Below are 21600 nucleotides of genomic sequence, written 5' to 3' on the forward strand. Positions count from 1 at the left end.
CAGAAATCGCCTGTGCTCCAGCCCCTGTCCCCAGCCCCTCAATGCCAACTCCCCATCCTTCAGCTGACCCCGGGCTCATTAAGTGCTAGGAAACGCCACCAGCAGCGGGTGCAGGGCTGAGGGCCAAGCTGCCGGCTGGAACAAAAGAGCTTGTGTTTGGGGATAGGACCTCCCCCTCCTTCACCACGGTTGGGGGCCGTGGGGGGAAGTGAGGACAGTCATCTGGGGCCAAGAGGGGCTGCAGGGCTGGGGAAGGGGCTTGTCAGAGCCCGGATTCAGATAGAAAGGGCTGAAAGGGGGTTGGAAGCTAATGTGCCTGAGCGTCTCAGCACAAACGGGCCATTTTCAGCGGGCCCAGAAATCAAAACATCCCGGCTGGGGGAGAGCAAGCTTTGAACTTTTCCTGACTCGTGGTCCTGGGGGTGAAGAGGTCAGGGACTGCCTTGAGGTGGGGGCCAGGCCAGGGTGGGATGAGCAGCCGGCAGCCCAAAGCCCCCTTCCTTCTGTCCCCATGCTGAGTCTCAGAGGGAACCAGGGCTGCTCAGAGCATTCAGAGGAGGGTGCGGGCTGTGGGGGGTGAGAAGGAAGGGAAGCCCCATTTTCACTGTCTCCTCACTCCCAACTGTGGGCAGCCAGGTGTGCTTCTACATTGCAGGTCTGGCCCCACATCCCCTGCTGCAGACCTCCACTGGCGCCCCCGTGACTCTCAGGATCTGTTCCCAGCTCTGGAACAGGCTCTCCGGACCCCTGGCCACTGGCACCCTGGGCAGCTTACCTCGTCCCACTCCTGATAGCCCCCCAATGACCACTTTATGCTTCAGCCAAATCTAGCTGTTGACAGCTCCTCAAACGCTTGGGCTGGCTAAGCCTCTACAGTTTCCATGACTCTCTTCTGAGCCGGAAACACCTGCCTCCTCCCTACGTGCATTCATTCCCACCCCCGAAACGGGACAAACTCCTACTCACATGCTAGTGCCCTTTTGCTCACCACTGCCTCCAGAAGCCTTCCCAGCCCCTGTGAATGAGTTCTTAGTGCAATGGTGGCCACAGTCACTGCAGGATGCAGCTGTCTCCAGGTGAAGGCTCTGCCCTGCGGGCAGCCCTCATGTGTGTCTCATTCCCCTGTAGCCTTAGGCTTGGGACAGAAAGCTTGAGACCAGTAACCAGCGAGCATTTGTTGAAAGAAGGAGAAGGGGAAGGAGAAGGAGCCACGAAAACAGAACAAAACAAAACATAATTTTAGAAAACGGAGAAGCTGGCCGGCCGCGGTGGCTCACCCCTTAATCCCAACACTTTGGGAGGCCAAGGTGGGTGGATCACTTAAGGTCAGCAGTTCAAAACCAGCCTGGCCAACATGGCGAAACCCCGTCTTTACATAAAATACAAAAAAATTAGTCGAGCGTGGTGGCAGGCGTCTGTGGTGTCCCAGCAACTTGGGAGGCTGAGGCAAGAGAATTGCTTGAACCTGGGAAATGGATTTTGCAGTGAGTTGAGATCACACCGCTGCACTCCAGCCTGGGCAACTGAGTGAGACTCTGTTTAAAAAACAAAAAAGAAAAGGGAGAGGCCAAGAAAGAGAAAACAAATGGGTAACAGGGGTAGGGGAGGAGCCGGCTCTTCTGGCCACTGAGGAACGTGCCAGAACAGACAGACTGCACACCCTGAGCATCAGAGCAATACTATTTCTCTGTGGTGAGACCCCTGGACAGCTCAGTGCCCCAGAGGCAGGGTCCTGGGCACAGGCTGGCTTTGCTGGCAGGCCCCTCTACAGTTTAGCCAACAAGGCGGGGCAGCTGTTGGGGGGGATGGGTGGGGGGTCCCAGGTGGGCATTTAGCTGCCCGCATAGCACTTCGGCATCACCTGCCATCCGTGGATCCCAGATTCCTGTCTCTAAGAGCCCCAAGAGCCTATAGGCTCTGTCTAGGCCAGTGGTTTTCCCGTTGTGTCCAAGGAGAAGCTCAGAAGTTGGCGTGTAGGAGACACTTCCTTCCTTGAACCCAGCTTGGACTAGAGCAGCTCACCAGATCCAATAGAATACAAACATTGACGTCAGGCGTGGTGGCTCATGCCTGTAATCCCAGCACTTTGGGAGGCTGAGGTGGGAGGATCACAAGGTCAAGAGTTTGAGACCAGCCTGGCCAACATGGTGAAACCCTGTCTCTACTAAAAATACAAAAAATAGCCAGGCGTGGTGGTGCACGCCTGTAATCCCAGCTACTCGGGAGGCTGAGACAGGAGAATCACTTGAACCTGGTCCTGTGGAGGTTGCAGTGAGTTGAGATCGTGCCATTGCACTCCAGCCTGGGCGACGGAGTGAGACTCTGTTCAAAATAAATAAATAAATAAAAACTTTTTTGAGATAGATTACAGGTGTGAGCCACCACGCCCAGCCTCAAAATAATAATCATAATAATAATACAAATGTTGGGCTTGCCTGAAAATTTTCATTTAAATGACGGTTCTGGATCACTTGAGCCCAGGAATTTGAGGCTGCAGTGAATTATAATGTGATCACGCCACTGCACTCTAGACAGGGCAACAGAGCAAGACCCTGTCTCTACAAAAAAAAAAAAGTAAATAAAATGGGAGTTCCATGGCTCAAGTAGTTTAAAGAACACTGGTCTAACCTCTTCCCCTTGTAAAGACTAGAAGACAAGGCCTAGGGACAAACAGGTTTCATCCCAAGTGCCCAGGGAGGACAGGGTGACAGAGCTACCTCTAGCTCCTGGCCCCTCCTGCTGGACCACACAGCCCTCTGTTGAAAGTATAAACATATGACGGAATGATCAGGAATCTGAAAGTAGGTTTTGTTGGGTAACAGGGAATAGCAACAAAGGACACTTAGTTTCTGGGGCAAAGGGTGGGAAGTAGAGAAGAGGACCAAAGTGGGAAGCGGGGCGCAGAGTGGCTGGAGGGGGATTTGTGGGAGGACAATCACCGTGCACTTAGTTAATTAATGATAGCTAGGCTGCTGCCAAAGCCATTCAAAACCATGCCGTAAATTTCCCAGCTTTGGACAAGGCAGCACTAGGTTTATTTTTATTTATTTTTACTTACTTTTAGAGGTGGGGTCTTTCTGCATTTCCCCAGCTGGAGTGCAGTAGCTATTCACAGGCACGATCCTAGCCAACTACAGCCTTCAACTCCAGGCCTCAAGCTGTCCTCCTGCCTCAGTCTGCTGAGTAGCTTGGACTACAGGCGCGTGCCACTGTGCCCAGCAGCACTAGGTTTAGAATCAGAATCTCAGGGTTCAAGTCCCAACTCCTCCATTTATCTACTCACTGCATTGAACTTGGCCAAATCAATGACCTCTTGAGACTCAGTTTCTTCCTCAATAAAATGCGGCCAACAACACCTCTGTCCCAGAATGGCGAGGGGTCAATGAGAGCACAGAGTCGAGGCTGAACAATTCCTGGTGGGTTCAGGATTCTTCCTTGCATAGGAACTTGGGGAAGGTTCAAATCCCAGCTCTGTCCCTTACTAGATAGATTTGTGATTTGAGGCAAGTTTCTTAACCTCTCTGCCTCAGTTTTCTCATCTGCAAAATGAGGATAATAGTAGCATCCACCTCCCTCACAGGATGTAATGAGTTGATACGGATTAAAGCACTTAGAACAGGGCTGCACGAGGGTTTGTTATCATTATTTGGACTCTATTAATAACTGCAAAGATTAGGTCTTGCCAAGGAGAGATGGTAGAAATGGAATAAAAGAGTGCACAAGATTGGCTGGGCGCGGTGGCTCACGCCTATAATCCCAGCACTTTGGGAGGCCAAGGCAGACAGATCGCTTTGAGCTCAGGAGTTCGAGACCAGCCAGGGCAGCAAGATCCCTGTCTCTACAAAAAAATACAAAAATTAGCCAGACATGTGGTGCATACCTGATGTCCCAGCTACTCAGGAAGCTGAGGCTGGAGGATCACATGAGACCAGGAAGCAGAGGTTGCAGTGAGCTGAGATCGTGCCACTGGACTCCAGCCTGGGTGAGGGTTAGGGATTTAAAAAAAAAAATAGAATGGGTTAATGAATGAATGTAAGAAAAATTAGGGTTCTACCAGGAACCCTAATTACGGATCTAACTTGACCCGATCCTAACCCATCAGTGGCTTCCAGTCATTCCTCTGGGCTGGGAGCCCACCCTGGCTCCCTGTCGCTGGGCCTCTCCCTGCATTTTTCTGCACACACGTAGAGGTAGGCTACCATTTCGCCCCTAGATGACTTTGGGTGATAAAGAAGTAACTTCAGCCTCCTTGAATTGAATCTTCTATCCAGAACATGTAACAAACCTGGAAATTGGAATTGCCCTAAAGCTGATTATTCTGGGAGGGCACCTCCTGGCATTAAAACTAAATTAGATCAAGGTACCTCTGTTATTAGCAAAATAATTCCCTATGATTACCGAACACAGCCATGAATCCTGATGGCAGATGAACTTCAGGTGACTTACTTGAGACAAATAACTGTGCGAAAATCACAGGCTCATCGAATCACTTCTCTATAGCGTTGCAGTTGGGTAATTATGCTAATAGTTATAAGAAATCATCCTTTGTGGTCTAGGATTGGGAGGGCTTGAGACGGAAACGTAAGTGGCAGATATTACCTGCTTCCAGTTGGAGAGACTGGGTCCAAAATGGGCCCCTTGCAGGGAGCTGCAAGGGAGCTGGTTTGTCCCCTGTCTACAGGGGAGAAACCTGTTATGCAGCCTGAATTGCAGTGGCCTGGCACCTTGGGAGGCTGAGGCAGGCAGATTACTTGAGCCCAGGAGTTCGAGACCAGCTTGGGCAACACAGCAAGACTCCCTTCTTTACAAAAAAATACCAAAATTAGCCAGGCAAGGTGGTGTATACCTTCAGTCCCAGCTACTTGGGAGTCTGAGGTGGGAGGATCGCTTTAGCCTGGGAGGTGGAGGCTGTAGTGAGCCATGATTGTACCACTGCACTCCAGCCTGGGTGACAAAGTAAAAAAAAAAAAAATTGCAGTGACCTCATTAAGCATCCCTTTTCAGATCATCTTAATACAGGAAATTGAATTTGTCCAAGTTCCACTGTTGGGCATGGTAATTCCAAGAAGCAAGTTAAACTGTAAAAGCTCAGGACCTCTGAGTCAATTTGATTCAGCAAACATGACTCTGTGCCCACTGGGTGCCAGGCAGTGATCTAGGCACAGGCAGCGGGGGTGTCAGCATTCAAGGGTGTTTCTGATGCTTTCTTAACAGTCTCTTGTCCCCTCAGTAACCTGACGAAAAAGACAATATTGTGCCCATTTTAGAGACAAGGAAATGAAGGCTCGGAGAAGCGAACTGGTGCTACTGCTGATAATCAGTGGAGATGACTACTTCCATCCACCCACAGGGAATGTAGATCTGGGAGGCTTCCTGGAAGAGCGGATTTGGGAAAGTGCAGTGTAGGCAGAGGAAACAGCTTGAGGAAAAAACCCGGAGGCAGGGGATTAAAGTAGGGGTTCAAGAATGGGGTTGAGGCCAGGTGCAGTGGCTCATGCCTATAAATCCCAGCACTCTGGGAGGCTGAGGCGGGCAGATTGCTTGAGCCCAGGAGTTCAAGACCAGCCTGACCAACATGATGAAATCCTGACTCTACTGAAGAGACAAAAATTAGCCAGGCGTAGTGGCACATGCCTGTAGTTCCAGCTACTTGGGAGGCTGAGGTGAGAGAATCACCTGAGCCTGGGAGGTTGAGGTTGCAGTGAGCCAAGATCTCATTACTGCACTCCAGTCTGAGCAATCAGAGTGAGATCCTGTCTCGAAAAGAAAAAAAAAAAAAAAAGAATAGGGTTGAGAGGGTAGCCGAAGGTCAAGAAACAGAGGGCCTCAAATGACCAATTGAGGGTTTGGACAATGGGGAGCCACCAGAGGTGGTTGAGTAAAGGAGGAGTAAGATGGAACCTGAGAATGCCTGGGTGAGAGTGTGGGAGACCCACTGGTAGATAAGGCTGCTTACAGGGAGGGGGCCAAAAGGGGATAAAAAATGGGTAGTTTTTTCAGTATAAGTGTGTCCCAAATATTGCATAGGATATACTTACACTAAAAAAAATTCATTGTTTATATACAATTTACATTTACCTGGCATCTTGTATTTCATCTGGCAATCCTACCCCCATCTCCTCACATCAGTGCCTAGCTGGGTTCTCTGCCCATGATGACTTTCCCTTGTGGGCACACAGCCTGGTAAACTCCTATCCATGCGTTGAAGCCCTGAACTCCTTACCACTGCTGTGGCAATAATTATCATGCACTACGGTGATTACTTTCTTAGGTAATTGTTTTACTATCTACCCATCCCCTTAGCGGCAAACCTTACTTCTGGCTGCATAGGGAAAAAAAGGTCAAGACCGTGAGTCCTTCCATTTCCTGACCTCCTCCCCACCCCAAGTTGCTTCCAACTTCTGCTTCTGTCTCAAGAAGAGCCGGCCTCTCCATCCCTCCTGTGACCTTGCCTGATCCCTTCAGATCAGGCACCTCTTGAGATCAGTACACCTCTCTCACTGGCAGCCCCAAAATCAGACATTCTGCTGGGTCATTCCCACCAGCTGGGCACCTAGCGAGTGCTTCCCGTCCTCCTCATCCCAACTGGGGTTCCCCAGGAGCAGGCTCTGAGAGGTATTCATGCATAGGAGATCCATCAAGGGCTGCTCTCTGGCTCAACACCTGTGGAAGGGAAGGGAAGGGAAGGGGGAAAGGGGAAGGGTGAAGGGGGAAGGGGGAAGGGTGAAGGGGGAAGGGAAGGGGGAAGGGGGAATGGGGAAGAGGGAAGGGAAGGGAAGGGAAGGGAAGGGAAGGAAAGAGAAGGGAGCAGGACTGGGCAGGAGGAGGAACTGAGCTTCCATGCAGTCAGTGCAAGCCTCAGCCCACCCTACACCTGGAGCTGGGATGCCCCTTCAGAGTCATCCTGAGCTGTGCCAAACTTTTATGACCCTGGGTTGGTCAGTCACTGGATGTAGGACACCCCAGGAAGGAGGTGTCACCTCTGGGGAGGTGGCTGTCTTCAGCAGAGGCAACCCCCAAGAGCTAAGCACTGAGGGACTACTTCTAGCAGCCTCCCCATACCTAGGGGAGTGAGACCTTTACTCCTGAAGAGGAGATCCGGGTTGCACATCACACCCCCTACCCCCCACCAAACCCAAGGCATTCCCCTCCAGCAACCATCCAATCTCTTATCTTCCTTCTGACCTAACCCTTCCTGTCCTCCCTTCCCTGCCTCCTACTCACTCCCCAGATTTTTGTAAAACTCAAGAGTTGGCTCTGTCCCACCCCCGGCGTGATATGATCGGATCTGTGCTTTGAAAACCTGATAGGGAGAACTAGTAGACATGGATCCACATGGAGAGGGGCCAGTAAGGTCGCTCAGTAGCCCCCTCAAGGTCTCTCAGTAGCTCCCTAAGGCCAAGTTGCTGAGCATGGCATGTAGGGTCCCTCATGGTGCAGCCCTGCCTCTTCTCCTGCCCCCTCTCATGGCTGCTCCCCTCACTTGAGGCTCCAATAATACTTGACTGTAATTCCCTGAGCACGCTGGCTGTTTCATGGTGCCATGTTTTTTTATGGGCTATTTCCTCTTTGCCTGGCTAACTTTTCTGTCTCGCTTCCTTAAAGACACACTCAGAGGTCATCTCCTTGGAAGCCTTTCCTGGAGCCATTCCTGCCCCGCTCCCAAGGCTGGTAGCAGAGCCGCATAGCTGCCCACCTGTGTCTCAGCCATTACCAGCAGTGCTCAGCAGCATATGGGAGTGTCCTGCTTGGGGACCACCTGATGACATTGTTACCTGTCTCTTCCCCCTGCATCTGTGTCTCCAGCACCCAGCCCAGAGCCTGGCACAAAAGGAGCCGAATGACATTGACTTAGGCACGTGGAGAATCCATGGACAGCCGCCTCCCCAGAGGTGACAGCTCCTTCCTACACTGGTGCTCTACATCCAGTGACTGACCAACCCAGGGTCATAAAAGCTTGGCATTGCTCAGGATGACTCTGAAGGGCCATCCCAGCTCCCGATGTAGGGTAGGCTGAGGCTTGCACTGACTGCATGGAAGCTCAATTCCTCCTTCTGCCCAGTCCTGCTCCCTTCCCTTCCCTTCCCTTCCCTTCCCTTCCCTTCCCTTCCCTTCCCTTCCCTTCCCTTCCCTTCCCTTCCTGGGGTATGAGAGAAACTGCGGAGGTGGAATCAAAGCATCTGAGAATGATTAGACTCAGACAGGGATGTGTCCCCTCAGAACAGGTCTTCCCTGGAAACAGCTGTTCTCCTGTTCAGTATCACCTGGTCCTTCCTCCATGCATAGTGTCTGACATCATCTCATTCTCTCTGGGTATTGAATTCTCAATGCCTCAGAGGCAGAAGTGAGGTCTGTGCATTTCCACTACTTATGCTCCGTGACCGTCATGCCCCACACGCACACTAGATCGGAGCTGCTTTCTCCTTCTGGCCCCTCCTTCCCACTCCTCCCCTGTCATTCATACTATCCCTGCTCCAGGGTCTTGTGGGCCTGGGTCTTCATCCTATGATGCTTCAGTCACTGCAGTTTTGAGTTTCACTTCCATCATCAGGTAAGGACCCACCACCCCAGCCTATCTGTGAAAAGGGTGTTGTGGTTACAAAACCCAGGATCTGGAATCAAACAGATGGGGCTTGAGAACAGGCTCTGTCATCTACATGCTGTGTGATCTTGTGCAAGTTGCTTAAAATCTGAGCCTCAGTTTCCTCATCTGTCAAAAGGGAATAGATACTAGAACCTTTTCAGAGGCGGTCGTAAGAATTAAATGAGAGAGCATCTGGCAAAGCACTCAAACTTGCATTCATAGCAACGGGCAGAAATGTAGACATTTCTGGCAACAAACAGTATCCAACAACAATAAACAGAGCCTATTGATGGAGGTGGGAAAGCAGACGTGCCTTCACTCATTCATTCAACAAACATTCATTGAGCACCTACTACATGCCCTTGCTGAGGGTAGGAGGGGATACAACAATGAAGAAAACCAGGCATGATCCCTGTGTTTAGGGATGCCCAGCCCGGGAGCATGACACATCCATCCAGTGATCACACATTGAAGATGCCATCACCAACTGCAACGGACACCATAAAGGAAAGTGACTTGAGCCATGGGTGTGTCATGTGGGAGGCCAGGGAAGCCTTCCCTGAGGAAATGACATTAGGCTTCCATTGGGAGAAGTTAACTGGGCCAAGGAATGGAGAAAAGTGTTCTGAAGAGGGGAAACTGGTATGCAAAGGCTGTGTCGTGGGAAGAAGCGTTGTATATTTGAGGATCTGGAAGTTGGCTGGAGTGGCTGGAGGCAGAGAGGGATGGGGAAGATGGCAAGAAATGAGGCTAGGGCCAGGCATGGTAGCTTATGCCTGTAATCCCAGCACTTTGAGAGGCTAAGGCGGGTGGATCACTTGAGGCCAGGAGTTCAATACCAGCCTGGCCAACATAGTGAAACCCTGTCTCTACCAAAAATACAAAAATTAGTTGGTTGCAGTGATGCATGCCTGTAATTCCAGCTACTCAGGAGGCTGAGGCACAAGAATCGCTTGAAGCCAGGAGGTGGAGGTTGCAATGAGCCGAGATCGTGCCACTGCACTCCAGCCTTGGGCAACAGAGTGAGACTCTGTTCTCCTGCCAAGAAAAAAGAAATGAGGCTGGGGAGATGGGTAGGACCTGACCACCCAGGATCTTGGAGGCCACATGATGGCAACAAGAAACCATTGAAGCTTTGAACAGAAGTGAGGGTGATATGATTGGATCTGTGCTTTGAAAACCTAATGAGGAGAACTAGTAGATAGGGACCCACATGGAGAGGGGCCAGGTGGATGCATGGAACAAGTTCAGTTCTTAGCGAAGTCCAGGCAAGAGACCACAGTGTCTGCACTGGGCTGGAGATAAACATTTGGGAATCATCTGCATAAGGACAGTGGTTGAAGCCATGGCCTGGGTGTAGTTCAAGTTGCCTGTGCAGAGAGTCTAGAAAAATAAGAGGGACTCAGACAGTCTCAAACTCCAAGTTTTACAGCCCAGGGGAGTCAGATGAGGTAGCCAAGGAGGAGAAGTGACCAGAGAACTAGGGGACAAACTGGGAGAGTATGGTAAGATGGAAGGGAACAGAAGTTTCTGTGGGGTTAAGTATTGCCAAGAGATCAGGAGAGATGGAGGTGGAAATGTATCCTATGGTGTTACCAACAAGGAGGTCATTGGTGACCTTCCCGAGAGCCATTAGGAAATACTGCAGATCTGGCCAGGCGCCAGTGGCTCACGCCTATAATCCCAGCACTTTGGGAGGCCGAGGTAGGCAGATCACTTGAGATCAGGGGTTTGAGACCAGCATGGCCAACATGGTGAAACCCCATCTCTACTGAATACAAAAATTATCTGGGCATGGTGGTACGCACCTGTAACCCCAGCTACTTGGGAAGCTGAGGCAGGAGAATCACTTGAACCCTGGAGGTGGAGGCTGCAGTGAGCCAAGATAGTGCCACTGCACTCCAGCCTAGGTGACAGAGCAAGACTCCATCTCAAAAAAAAAAAAGAAAAAAGAAAAATGGCAGATCTTAAGCTGGGTCAGCTTCCTGTCTGGCTAGGCCGTTTGCATGGGACAAAGTGCCCCAGTGGCTAATGTCCATGTCACCAGGATAATATTACATTGTCCAGAGAGATCTGAACCAAAGAAGATTGGCACATTAGCTCAGAAAATCTCATTGGAACCCTTGAAGTACATGTTGTTCTTTTCCAGTGACCATATAGCCCTGTCAACTTTATATATTTGTTAGCTTGTACAACATGTAACATTAGCCAATTCATCGTCTAGAGTCTGAACCATAAGCAATTTGCTATCCTGTGTGTTGCCTTGATGGAAGAACTCGACAAGTGGACATACGTGGATTTTGCAGATATAGTGCAGACGATGCCTTTGGCAAATCACTCCAGACACATCCCTTGGGGAAGGTGCTGCAGGCTCTGTCGCCCCTACAGATGGAAGCTGACAAGGAAAAGACGGGTCCAGATTGGAATCCCTGGGCTACATGTGAGAACAGACTGGAGGGTGCCAGAGCGGATGGGCAGACAGAGAGGAGGGTCTTTAGTTCTACAGTGTTGTACAGCGCCTCACTCAGGGGGTGGCACAAAGGACAGGAGGAAAGAGCCCCAGAAGCACTAACTTCATGCATATTTTTGACCTTCTCATCTCCTGGGCCAGCCTCCCTGGGTGTGGTTTTGTTCAGAACTGGAGAACGCGCCTGAATTTTTTAAATAATTGAGACAGGGTCTTGTCTGCTGCCCAGGCTGGAGTGCAACGGCATGATCATAGCTTAGTGCAGCATCAAACTGCTGGGCTCAAGAGATCATCCTGCCTCAGCCTTCCAAGTAGCTGGGACCACAGGCATGCTCACCACTGTGCTTGGCTTCTCTTGGAATTTTGTTGTTGTTGTTGTATTTCTTGAGACGGAGTCTCACTTTGTTGTCCAGGCTAGAGTGCAATGGCGTGGACATGACTCACTATAGCCTTGACCTCCTGGGCTCAAGTGATTTTCCCAACTCAGCCTCCCTAGAAGCTGGGATCACAGATGCATGCTACCGTGCTCGGCTAATTGTCTTTTCAATTTTTTGTAGAGATGGGGTCTTGCCATGTTGCCCAGGCTGGTCTTGAACTCTTGGGCTCAAGCGATCCTCCTGTCCTGGCCTCCCAAAGTGCTGGGATTACAGACATGAGCCACTGTGCTCAGCCCCCTGGAATTTTTGATCAGCCTCCCACTTTCTTTCTTTCTTTCTTTCTTTATTAGTTTTATTTTATTTTCTTTTTCTTTTTTTTCTTTTTTCTTTTTTTTTCTTTTTTTTTTTTGTGACGGAGTCTCACTCTGTTGCCCAGGCTGGAGTGCAGTGGCATAATCTCGGCTCACTGCAACCTCCACCTTCCAGGTTCAAGCGATTCTCCTGCCTCAGCCTCCCGAGTAGCTAGGACTACAGGCATGCACCACCACACCCAGGTAATTTTTGTATATTTATTAGAGATGGGGTTTCACTATTTTGACCAGGCTGGTCTTAAACTCCTGACCTCAGGTGATCTGCCTGCCTTGGCCTCCCAAAGTGCTGGGTTTACAGACGTGAGCCACCATGCCCAGCCCTCCCACTTTCATAGTAACCTGATCAAGTTCTTTCCATCCTCCCCTGTAAACAACTTCCTCTTGACCATAGTCATATAATTGCTACCTGTACCAAGAAAGGAGCCATGCATTTTGCCACTATGATCTCATTGAATCTTTATAATAACCCTTGTGATAATCTCTAGTCAATGTTGGCTGTGTAAACCCAGCAACAGGCTCAGAGGGATGTAGTAGCATGCTCTAGGTCACACAGCTGGCAAGTGGGTCAGCTTGGATATGAATGCAGCATTTTTTTTTTTTTTTTTTGGAGATGGAGTCTTGCTCTGTCGCCGAGGCTGGAGGGCAAATGGTGCGATCTTGGCTCACTGCAACCTTCACTTCCCAGGTTCAAGGGGTTCTCCTGTCTCAGCCTCCCTAGTAGCTGGGATTACAGGTGTGTGCCACCATGCCCACCTAATTTTTGTATTTTAGTAGAGATGAGGTTTCACCATGTTGACCAGGCTGGTCTCGAACTCCTGACCTCAGGTGATCTACCCGCCTCGGCCTCCCAAAGTGCTGGGATTATAGGCCCCGAGCACTCTTTGACTTTGAAGTTCACATTCCCATCAAGAACACTCAATGAAGACCAAGCAGTCAGTCCAGCAGGTGGTGGGGTTGCTTTTTCCTTTTGACAGTTTGGAATGATCCCTTTTGGTTTCTGAGTTTTTGGGTCACTCAGTCCTTTTCTTCATTCAATAAACCTTCCTGAGGCCAGGCCTCTTGCAGGTGGTGGGGCTGCAAGGTTTGCGACCTGGAAGAGCTCACAGTCTGCTCCAGGACACAGACCCATAGCAAGGTGCAACAATCTACAATATGATAAATATAGATGGTGGAGTGGGTGGGTTCTGTGGGAACCCTCTGCTTTCCATGGGCTGGAATGCCTGAGCTGGATTATAATAGGAGAAGTAGGCACTGACTGGGTAGAGATAGGGAGGACAGACATTCTAGGAAGAGTAAACAGTGTGTGCAAATTCCTGGGGCATGATAGAGCTTGGTGGACTTGGGAGACCTGGTTGTATGGTGGTGCTTGGGCGGGGGCAGTCTCAGCTGACTGGGACTAGGGTGTGAAGGACCCCAGTGAAGATTGCAGACTGGGCTATTCATGTTCTTAAGATTTACTGAGCACTTCCTCATGAGCCAGTCTTTGTGCTAGGTATTTCCCAGAAAGGATGACCAGGTTATTAAAATACGGAAACTGAAGTTCAGAGTAGGACTGGGTTTTATGTGGCCTCCCACCATGACTCTCTGCACCTTAAAAAAAAAAAGTGATGAAGAATAAAACAAACACTGTGTGTCTCCTATCCTGGTCAAGAAATAAAACCAAGCATGAGCATGGTGGCTTATACCTGTAATCCCAGCACTTTAGGAGGCCGAAGCAGGAGGATCGTTTGGGCCCAGGAGTTTGAGACCAGTGTGGGCAACATAGTGAGACCTTATCTCTACAACAAACAAACAAACAAACAAAAATTAGCCCGCCATGGTGGCGTGTGCCTGTAGTCCTAGCTACTCAGGATGCTGAGGTGGGAGAATCCCTTGATCCTGGGAGGTTGAGGCTGCAGTGAGTTATCATTATGCTACTGCACTCCAGCCTGGTTGAAAGAGAGAGGTGCTGTCTCAAAAAAAAAAAAAGAAAAGAAGAAGAAGAAAGAAAGAAAGAAAACCTTACTAAGATGTGTGAATGTGTGAAGCTCCTTCCTATTAAACATCTCCCTCTATCCAGAGGTAAAAACTTTGCAGAATGGTGTATTTATCATTCCTCTGAATGTCTTTATACTTTTACCATATCTGTGCATTCCTATGGAATATATGGTATTCTGTTCGGCATGTTTAAAGAATCTATATGAAGGCTGGGCATAGCGGCTCATGCCACCAGTCACGTAGTTTGTGGAATTACAGGAATAGAACTTGAAGCCAGGGTAGGCACAGTGGCTCACATCTGTAATCCCAACACTTTGTTTGGGAGGCTGGGGCGGGAGGATCGCTTGAGTCCAGGAGTTTGAGACCAGCCTGGCCAACATAGAGAGACCCCTCTCTCTACAAATAAAAATATTAGGCCAGGCGCGGTGGCTCATGCCTGTAATCCCAGCACTTTAGGAGGCCGAGGCAGGTGGATCACCTGAGGCGGGGAGTTCGAGACCAGTCTGACCAACATGGAGAAACCCTGTCTCTATTAAAAAATACAAAATAATACAAAATTAGCTGGGCATGGTGGCGCATGCCTGTAATCTCAGCTACTCGGGAGACTGAGACAGGAGAATCTCTTGAACCCAGGAGACAGAGGTTGCGGTGAACTGAGATCGTGCCATTGCACTCCAGCCTGGGCAATAAGAGTGAAACTCCATCTCAAAAAAATAAAAAACAAACAAACAAACAAAAAACTAGCTGCATGTGGTGCCACTGCACCTGTGGTCCCAGCTACTCAGAAGGCTGTGGTGGTAGTATTACCTGAGCACAGGAGTTCGAGGCCGCAGTGAGCTATGATAGCGCCACTGCACTCCATCCTGGGTGACAGAGCAAGCCTCTGTCTCAAAACAAAACAAAACTATATGAATGATATTATAGAAATTTGATGTTCTGCAACATGTTCTCCCTCCCCTTATTTGAGATTTGAGATTCATAATGAATTTCTAATCATTTATTTTTGCTGCAGTATAGAATTTTGCTGACTACCCCACAATTTGTTTATGCATTCTTCCTCTGATAGGGATGGAGGCTGTTTCAAATTCCTTACTAGTATTATCATTATTGCAATGAGCAAGAGGTTCTCTATGTCAAGACTCTGGGTCACTGGGGTATGTGCACTTCGACATTTCTAGATGCTGCCAAATTGTTTCCCAGAGTGGCTCTACCCATTTCCACTCCTGCCTGCAGCACAGGACAGTTCTCCAGACTCCAGGTCCCTACTGTCCCACTTCTTTGTTTTTGCACCAATCTGACAGGCATGAAGTGGCACTTTACTGGGATTTTGTTTTATATTTCTCTGATTACTAGTGAGACTGACCATCTTTGCATATGTTTATTGGCCATTCATGTTTCTTTTTCTGTGAATTGCCTGTTCATATATTTTGCCCAATCTCCTATTGCCTCTTTAGCACATTGGTTTGTGGAAGGCCTTTGTATATTTTGGATATTATATTGTAAATATCATCTTTTGATAAACAGAAGTTTTGAATTTTAATTAAATGTATTGATGTTTTTCTTGATGATTTATGCTTTTGAGGTCTTCTTTAAGACATCCTTGACTATTATGAGTTTTTTTTGTGTGTGTAAGTTTTCAGTACACCTGGAACTGATCTTTTATGCATGGTGTGAGGTAGGGATTCAGCTCATCTTTTACTAATATGGACATTCTATTGCTCTAGCACCATTTATAGAAAAGTCCACCCTTCTCCCACTGACCTGCAGGGCCATCTCTGCTACATATCAAGTTTCCATACCTGTATGGGTCAATTTTTGCAGCCTCTATTCTAGTCCACTGGCCAATTTATCTACCCTTGGGCTAATACCAGATGCTGTGATTGTACATTTTGGGGTCCTTAGCACCTCCTCTCTCGAATTAGAGGAGTGCTAGTGACTTCCTGAGAGTAGAAACTTGTGTTCACCTTTGCAGCTCTCTCATCACGTTTTACATGAACATCTACATAATGCTTTTGTTTACAAAAGGATTTCTTGCATACTATCTCTTGGAGTTCTAAAACTCCCTTTTTGCAGAAGATAAAACTGAGGCAGAAGGTAAAACTGAGAAGATAAAACAGAGGTAAGATGATTTGCCAAGGTCGCACAGCCAGAAAGTGTTGGATTAGGGGTTCTATAAGATTTCAAAGCCACCCTGTGCATCCATCGCATATGCTCCGAAGACTTCCACTGACCCTGGTATCGGATTTCACTCCTTCCTGCCTTCATTCAACAAGTAGCTCCTGAGTGATGACCGTGCCAGCTTCTGGTGGGTGCTGGGGCTGAGACCCCATTTCTGGGAGGCTCTTCCCAGTGCTGGAGACCGGTGGGAAGGGTGAGACAGTAGATGGACATTTTATGGGACATCGTCTGCGGCTTGGCATCAGCATCAAGTCGCGCCAGGTTTCAGAGCCAATTTAAAGAGCCCCATTTTTGGCGTGCAGTTGGGCCCAGGCGCTGTCTTCAGAGAGGACGCTGGCTTCCCCCTGGAATTACAGGCGTCCTCCCGCCCTCCCGCCTCGAGAGGCAGGAATGCGAAGGATCAGCTTTCAGCAGAGCTCCGGCTGCCGTTCGGGGAGTTCACCGTGCAGGCCCGTCCCCAGCGGCCGAATTAACTGGTTCTGTCTGTACGACTGGGAGAGCAGCTCTCGCTAAAAATAGCGCCCTGCCCAGCTCGACCTGCGAGCCGCCGTTGGATTCTGAGCCGGGACGGCTCAAGGAGCCGGGAGCCCTGCACACCCCTCACCCCGGGCCTGGCCCGGGACCGACCACGGAGGCGGAGGCCGCGGGCACCGCGCTGGCCCCACAGGTGCCGCGGAGGGTGGCAGGCCCGCTGGCCGAGGCACTGCCGAGGCCGTCCGAGATGGGAGCTGGCGGTGCCTCCTTCCGCGCCCTCGCCTGGGCCTCCCTGCCCCTGCTGGGGCCTCCAGCCTGCGCGCTCTGCGAGGACACGCTCTGCTGCGGAGGTAAGGCCGTGCGCCTCCAGGCGCGCCCTCGCCCTACGCGGGCACTTGCCCGGGGCCTGTTTCTCCTCCTTGGCCCCAGATCCGCGACTGGCGGCAAGGTGAGGACGAACACAGGCATCCGCGTAGGGCTGGGAAAAGGAGGCAGGAGCTCTCAGCAAACCCACCTTTAGCTGGAAAACGTCGCTGTCCCGCCACCACGGTCCGAAAAGCGTTCGCCCCGCTCTGGCCTCAGTGTGCCTATCTGGGAAATGGGTCAATAAGATAGTCACGCTTTAATATTCAGTCACGCTTGCTGAAGCGGGTCGCAGACGTTCGCGGGACGTTCCCTCCAGCCAGCTGGAGTCCTCGGGAGTTTCTGTTGGTGGGAGTGCTGGGGTGCCTTCCCTGTGACACCCCGCACTGTCCCCTTCCCAAGCTCTAGTTCCCCCCATTAGTCCCCGGCTCCTGAGGTTGGAGATCCACGCAGGGCGCACATAAAAGTTTAAGGGGTCAGCGGATGCGGGAAGATTCTAGCGGGAAGGGGAGCTGTAGGGTGGAAGAGGGATAAGTAAAGCAAAGTCGCGGCCCACTCCTCGGTCCCGTACCCTCATAGCGCCGAAACGGAAGCAGAGGTTATCTCTGGACTCCTGGAGGCCTGGGGACTCCGGGAGGGGAGGGGGCGTGTGGTCCCGCCGGCATCTCGGGCCGGCACCAGGCTGGGGAGCGTGTGCTCGGAGCGGAGGGCCTCGGCTCTGCCCAGTCCGGCCTGGGCGGGGCGGTGGTGGGGAGGTCGATTGACCAAACAGGTGCGCCCCCGCCCCTCTGCTCCCCGCCCGCGCTGGGTCCCGGGCCTGGCGGGCGGAGCTGTGGGCGGCTGGGCCTGCGATTGGCAGGGCTGGGCAGGCCGGGTGGCCGCGGGAGCCCGGGAGCCGTAGAGCGGCGGCGCCGGGGGAGGCGCGGAGCCGGCCGTAGCGCGCTCCTGCCTGGCCAGCCGCCTACTCCGCCCGCCCCGCTCCACTCGGCCCAGCTGGCGCGAAGGAAACTTTCCTGCAGCCGCCCGGCGACACCGCGACTCCGCCGCTTCGCAACCCTGGCCCTGGGCCGCTCAGGCTCCGGAGCCTTTGGGATGGCAGCGCCCAGCGGCCCGGCCCGCGCGTAGAGGTAAAAGCTGGGGGCCGCGGCTCAGGTGGAGGGGGGCTCGGTGGTTTGCCGGGATCCGAGCGGCATCCCGGGTTCGAGAGGATCCGGGGGCTCCGATGCGAGGTGTTGGGGTAGGGGACTGAGGAATGGGCGGCGACTTTGCTTTATTTACCCCGCTTTTCCCCTACAGTCCCCTCTCCCGCAAGGAAATCTGCGCGATGCATTGAGCCTTTAAACTTTCCTGTGCGCCCTGCCCAGATCTCGACCGCCGGGACCCAGGGCTGGCGCTGGGTTCTTGGGAGAGTACAATACAGGGGATCGCGAGGAAGGCGCCCCCAGCTGGGGCCCGCGGGCGGCGGGAGTTGGGGGTGGGGGGTGCCAGCCTACCGATCCCCAAGGCTTCCAGCGGTCTCCCAAACTTCAGACCTTCCTCAGCTCACCCTGGGAATTGGTGATAGGGCAGCCAACCAAACCTCTTTATCCAGAGCCAGGCACCCCCTGGGGCACCCAAGTTTTGGGTGTTTTTGTTCAATCCTGGCCAATCCTAAATTATCAGGGAGGCGATTGGCAGGGCTGGGTCGTTGAAGTGAGGTCTCTTTTCCGTTTCCTGGGCTGCTCTGGACCCCACCTTCCGTGAAAACACCTTGGGCTAAGCAGAGTGGGAACAGGGACCAACGCCACCTGCTTCCAGTGCTCAGCCTGGTGGGAATGACTGCAGGGTGTTCTGGTCTCAGGATGGTCCACTCTTGAGCTATCTGGTGTGAGCCATATGGAAACTCCTCTCCCTCTGGCCCCTTCTGCTATTAAGGAGGGAAATTTTACCTTAATTTTGATTGTGAGTGGGTGAGTAGGTAGCTTGTCACCAATAAGGACCAATCTTTAACATTAGTCCTCCTTAATGTTAACTCCTTTCCGTGTTTTACTGACCCAGGACAGAATACCTAAGAGTAAAAAAATGGAACCAAACACCTAGCTCTGGAGCCCAGGGAATCTGGGTTCCAACATCAGCCCCTGCTGCTCACTAGCTGTGTATCTGTGGGCAGGTTTCCTAACCTCTCAGAGCTCAAGGGTCCCGTCCAAGGGGGATATAGGGAGGTTTTTTCGAGGTGAGGCGTAGAAGGCGCCTGGCTCGTAGGACAGCCATCTTAAGCAGCCGATCTATACCCTGGAGCCTGTGCCCTCTTGCTGTCTGAGAGAGCCAGCATCCTTGTGCCTCAGTTTCCTCTCCCCCAGAAAGTTGGTAAGGACCAGCCCCTCTTAATCAGCCCTTTTGAGAAAAGTGCACAGATGCACACACCCACAATTTCAGTGGGTTTGTAGGCTCAGGTTTAAACAGCCTCACACATTCTTATCCCTGCAATGAACTATTCAGAATGTACAAGGCTTCTGTCTATCTTGATCTTTCCCCCTTTCCCCACCCCTTTTAGACACCTGGAGGTAACTATTGTAAATGGCAAGGAAGAGCAAATGAACTAAATAACCAGCATGATGGGGAAAAGGGCTGACCTGCAGAACCTGGCCCAAAGTCACCTTCAAGATCACCTGGCCCTCCTATCCCCGCATTCTTCCTTCCCTGGTGCTGTGTCCCCACTTGGTGAACATCTAGTCTTTTTTGCTAGGATCCTCTAGTGACGGTGAGTTCACTAGACAGTTGGTTTCATGATTGGGAAACTCTTGGTTTCATGATTGAGCAACATTCTTCCTGTTTGGGACAGAAATCTTTGTCTCTATGACTTCTATCCACTGGTTCTGGAACAACCCTTGGGGCATTTCTTACTGTCTCAATTATTCACTGTGGTCCCCTGGTGCCTGGCATTCTGTTCCGTCCCTTCAGCATTCAACACACAGGCACTGAGGTTGGTAATGATCATAGCACTATTTATTGAGTGTTTATTATATGCCAGACCCTGCCCTGAGGACTTTACACATATTATTTTCTTGCACCCATAAAACAAACCCATGAGGTTGATTATTTTCTTATCCTTATTTTGCATATAAGAAACAGGTTTAGAGAGGTTAAGGGACTTACCCAAGATCCTACAACTGGTAAGGGGCTGGCTGGGCTGTGCACCAAACTCAGCATCTGTATCTGTCTTTAGAGCACATGCTTCGCTTTTGATCCTTGCTTGCATACATGCCTTTGTGTGTGTGTGTGTGTGTGCGCGTGCGTGTGTGCTCCTGGGACTGGTGTGTGCCAGCAATGCTTTTATCACAAGCACCTAGAGCACCTGTTAAAATGCAGATCCCTCATCTCTACTCCAGGCCTGGGATCTCCACTTTAAACCACCCGCCACTCCCACTCCCCCCCAACCCAGGCCATTTTCCTGCAGGTCACAGTTCGAGGACCATAGCACTAAGGTACTCTTAGGAAGAGAACGTGGAATATAGTTTTCAACAGATCTGAATTTAGTCTTGGCTTCACTCTCTGGAGCTGGTTACTCTTCCTTTCTAGGGCTTTCTCCCAACTTAAGATGGGTATGCTGTTCCACCCACTGGTGGGTGGAATGGAGCAGGCCCTTGGCTGACGGGAGCCCTGGTGAAGTTTCTCCTGCCACAAGTGGATGTACTTGCGGGCAGACCTGTGGCACCCCCAAGATCACTGGCCTCTGCTTTCTAGGATTGGTGTGCCTTAGACGAGGCCCTCGTGCTCAGGTTATTATATTTTGGAGACAGGGTCTCACTCTGTCATCCAGGCTGGAGTGTAGTGGTACTATCATAGCTCACTAAGGCCTCAAACTCCTGTGCTCCAGTGATCCTCCCACCTCAGCCTCTTTAGTAACTGCGACTACAGGCACATGCCACCATGCTCAGCCAATTTTTAAATTTGTTTTGTTTTGTTTTGTTTTTTGAGATGGAGTCTCCCTCTGTCACCCAGGCTGGAGTGCAGTGGCGTGATCTCGGCTCACTGCAAGCTCCACCTCCTGGGTTCACGCCATTCTCCTGCCTCAGCCTCCCAAGTAGCTGGGACTACAGGCGCCCGCCACCACGCCCGGCTAATTTTTTGTATTTTTAGTGGAGACAGGGTTTCACTGTGTTAGCCAGGATGGCCTTGATCTCCTGACCTCGTGATCCGCCCACCTCGGCCTCCCAAAGTACTGGGATTACAGGCGTGAGCCACCGCGCCTGGCCAATTTTTTAATTTTTAGTAGAGATGAAGTCTTGCTATGTTGCTCAGGATGGTCTTGATCTCCTAAGTTCCTGATGCTCCTGCCTCAGCCTCCCAAAGTGCTGGGATTGTAGGCATGAGCCACTGTACCCAGCCTCTGCTCAGTTTTTTCACCCAGAGTGGTGAGGACCCTGGAGGGGTTGGCAGAAACCTCTCCCTCCCCTCAACACCTTCTTCCTCCATCCTCCTACTGTGGCCTCTGGCCCTCCCAGCCAGAAGGTGCTGGGCCTGCATCTCGCGGGGAGAGGAGCGGGGTGGTTCTGTTGTGCGTCTATCTATGTTTTCAATCTCCATCCCTTCCCTTGGAAGACCGCTCTGTGGGCCATTGGGCAGCTTTGGGGAAATGTCTGGCCCGAGGCTGCCTGGCCTGGGCTGACTCACTAGGAGAGATACAGGGTGGAGGAATCGCCTGCATAGACCCCAGCTGTATCACAATTCTGGCCTACCAGCTGTGCTGCAGACAGGGTGCTTGTTCTGCCTTGGACCTATTTGATCCTGCTGAAAGCACAAATTATTAAACACCCATTTTATGAAAGA

General features: G+C 51.1%; 1 protein-coding gene across 1 annotated transcript in view, besides 2 other annotated features; it reads left to right on the forward strand.

Moving 5' to 3' along the window:
* DAB2IP (DAB2 interacting protein) overlaps nucleotides 1-21600 on the forward strand; it is a 218457-nt gene that overhangs the window by 14775 nt on the left and 182082 nt on the right. The gene's annotated exons all lie outside the window — the stretch shown is intronic.
* Nucleotides 15718-16685: an enhancer, noted in NCBI's record as "H3K27ac-H3K4me1 hESC enhancer chr9:124359845-124360812 (GRCh37/hg19 assembly coordinates)". NCBI's record gives its function as "activates a minimal SCP1, AML or CMV promoter by ChIP-STARR-seq in naive H9 embryonic stem cells {active_cell/tissue: H9 hESC(naive)}" and the evidence as "EXISTENCE:reporter gene assay evidence [ECO:0000049][PMID:30033119]".
* Nucleotides 16686-17651: an enhancer, noted in NCBI's record as "H3K27ac-H3K4me1 hESC enhancer chr9:124360813-124361778 (GRCh37/hg19 assembly coordinates)". NCBI's record gives its function as "activates a minimal SCP1, AML or CMV promoter by ChIP-STARR-seq in naive and primed H9 embryonic stem cells {active_cell/tissue: H9 hESC(naive and primed)}" and the evidence as "EXISTENCE:reporter gene assay evidence [ECO:0000049][PMID:30033119]".

Source organism: Homo sapiens, chromosome 9 (assembly GCF_000001405.40).
Source record: "Homo sapiens chromosome 9, GRCh38.p14 Primary Assembly".
In the NCBI taxonomy this organism is placed as follows: domain Eukaryota; kingdom Metazoa; phylum Chordata; class Mammalia; order Primates; family Hominidae; genus Homo; species Homo sapiens.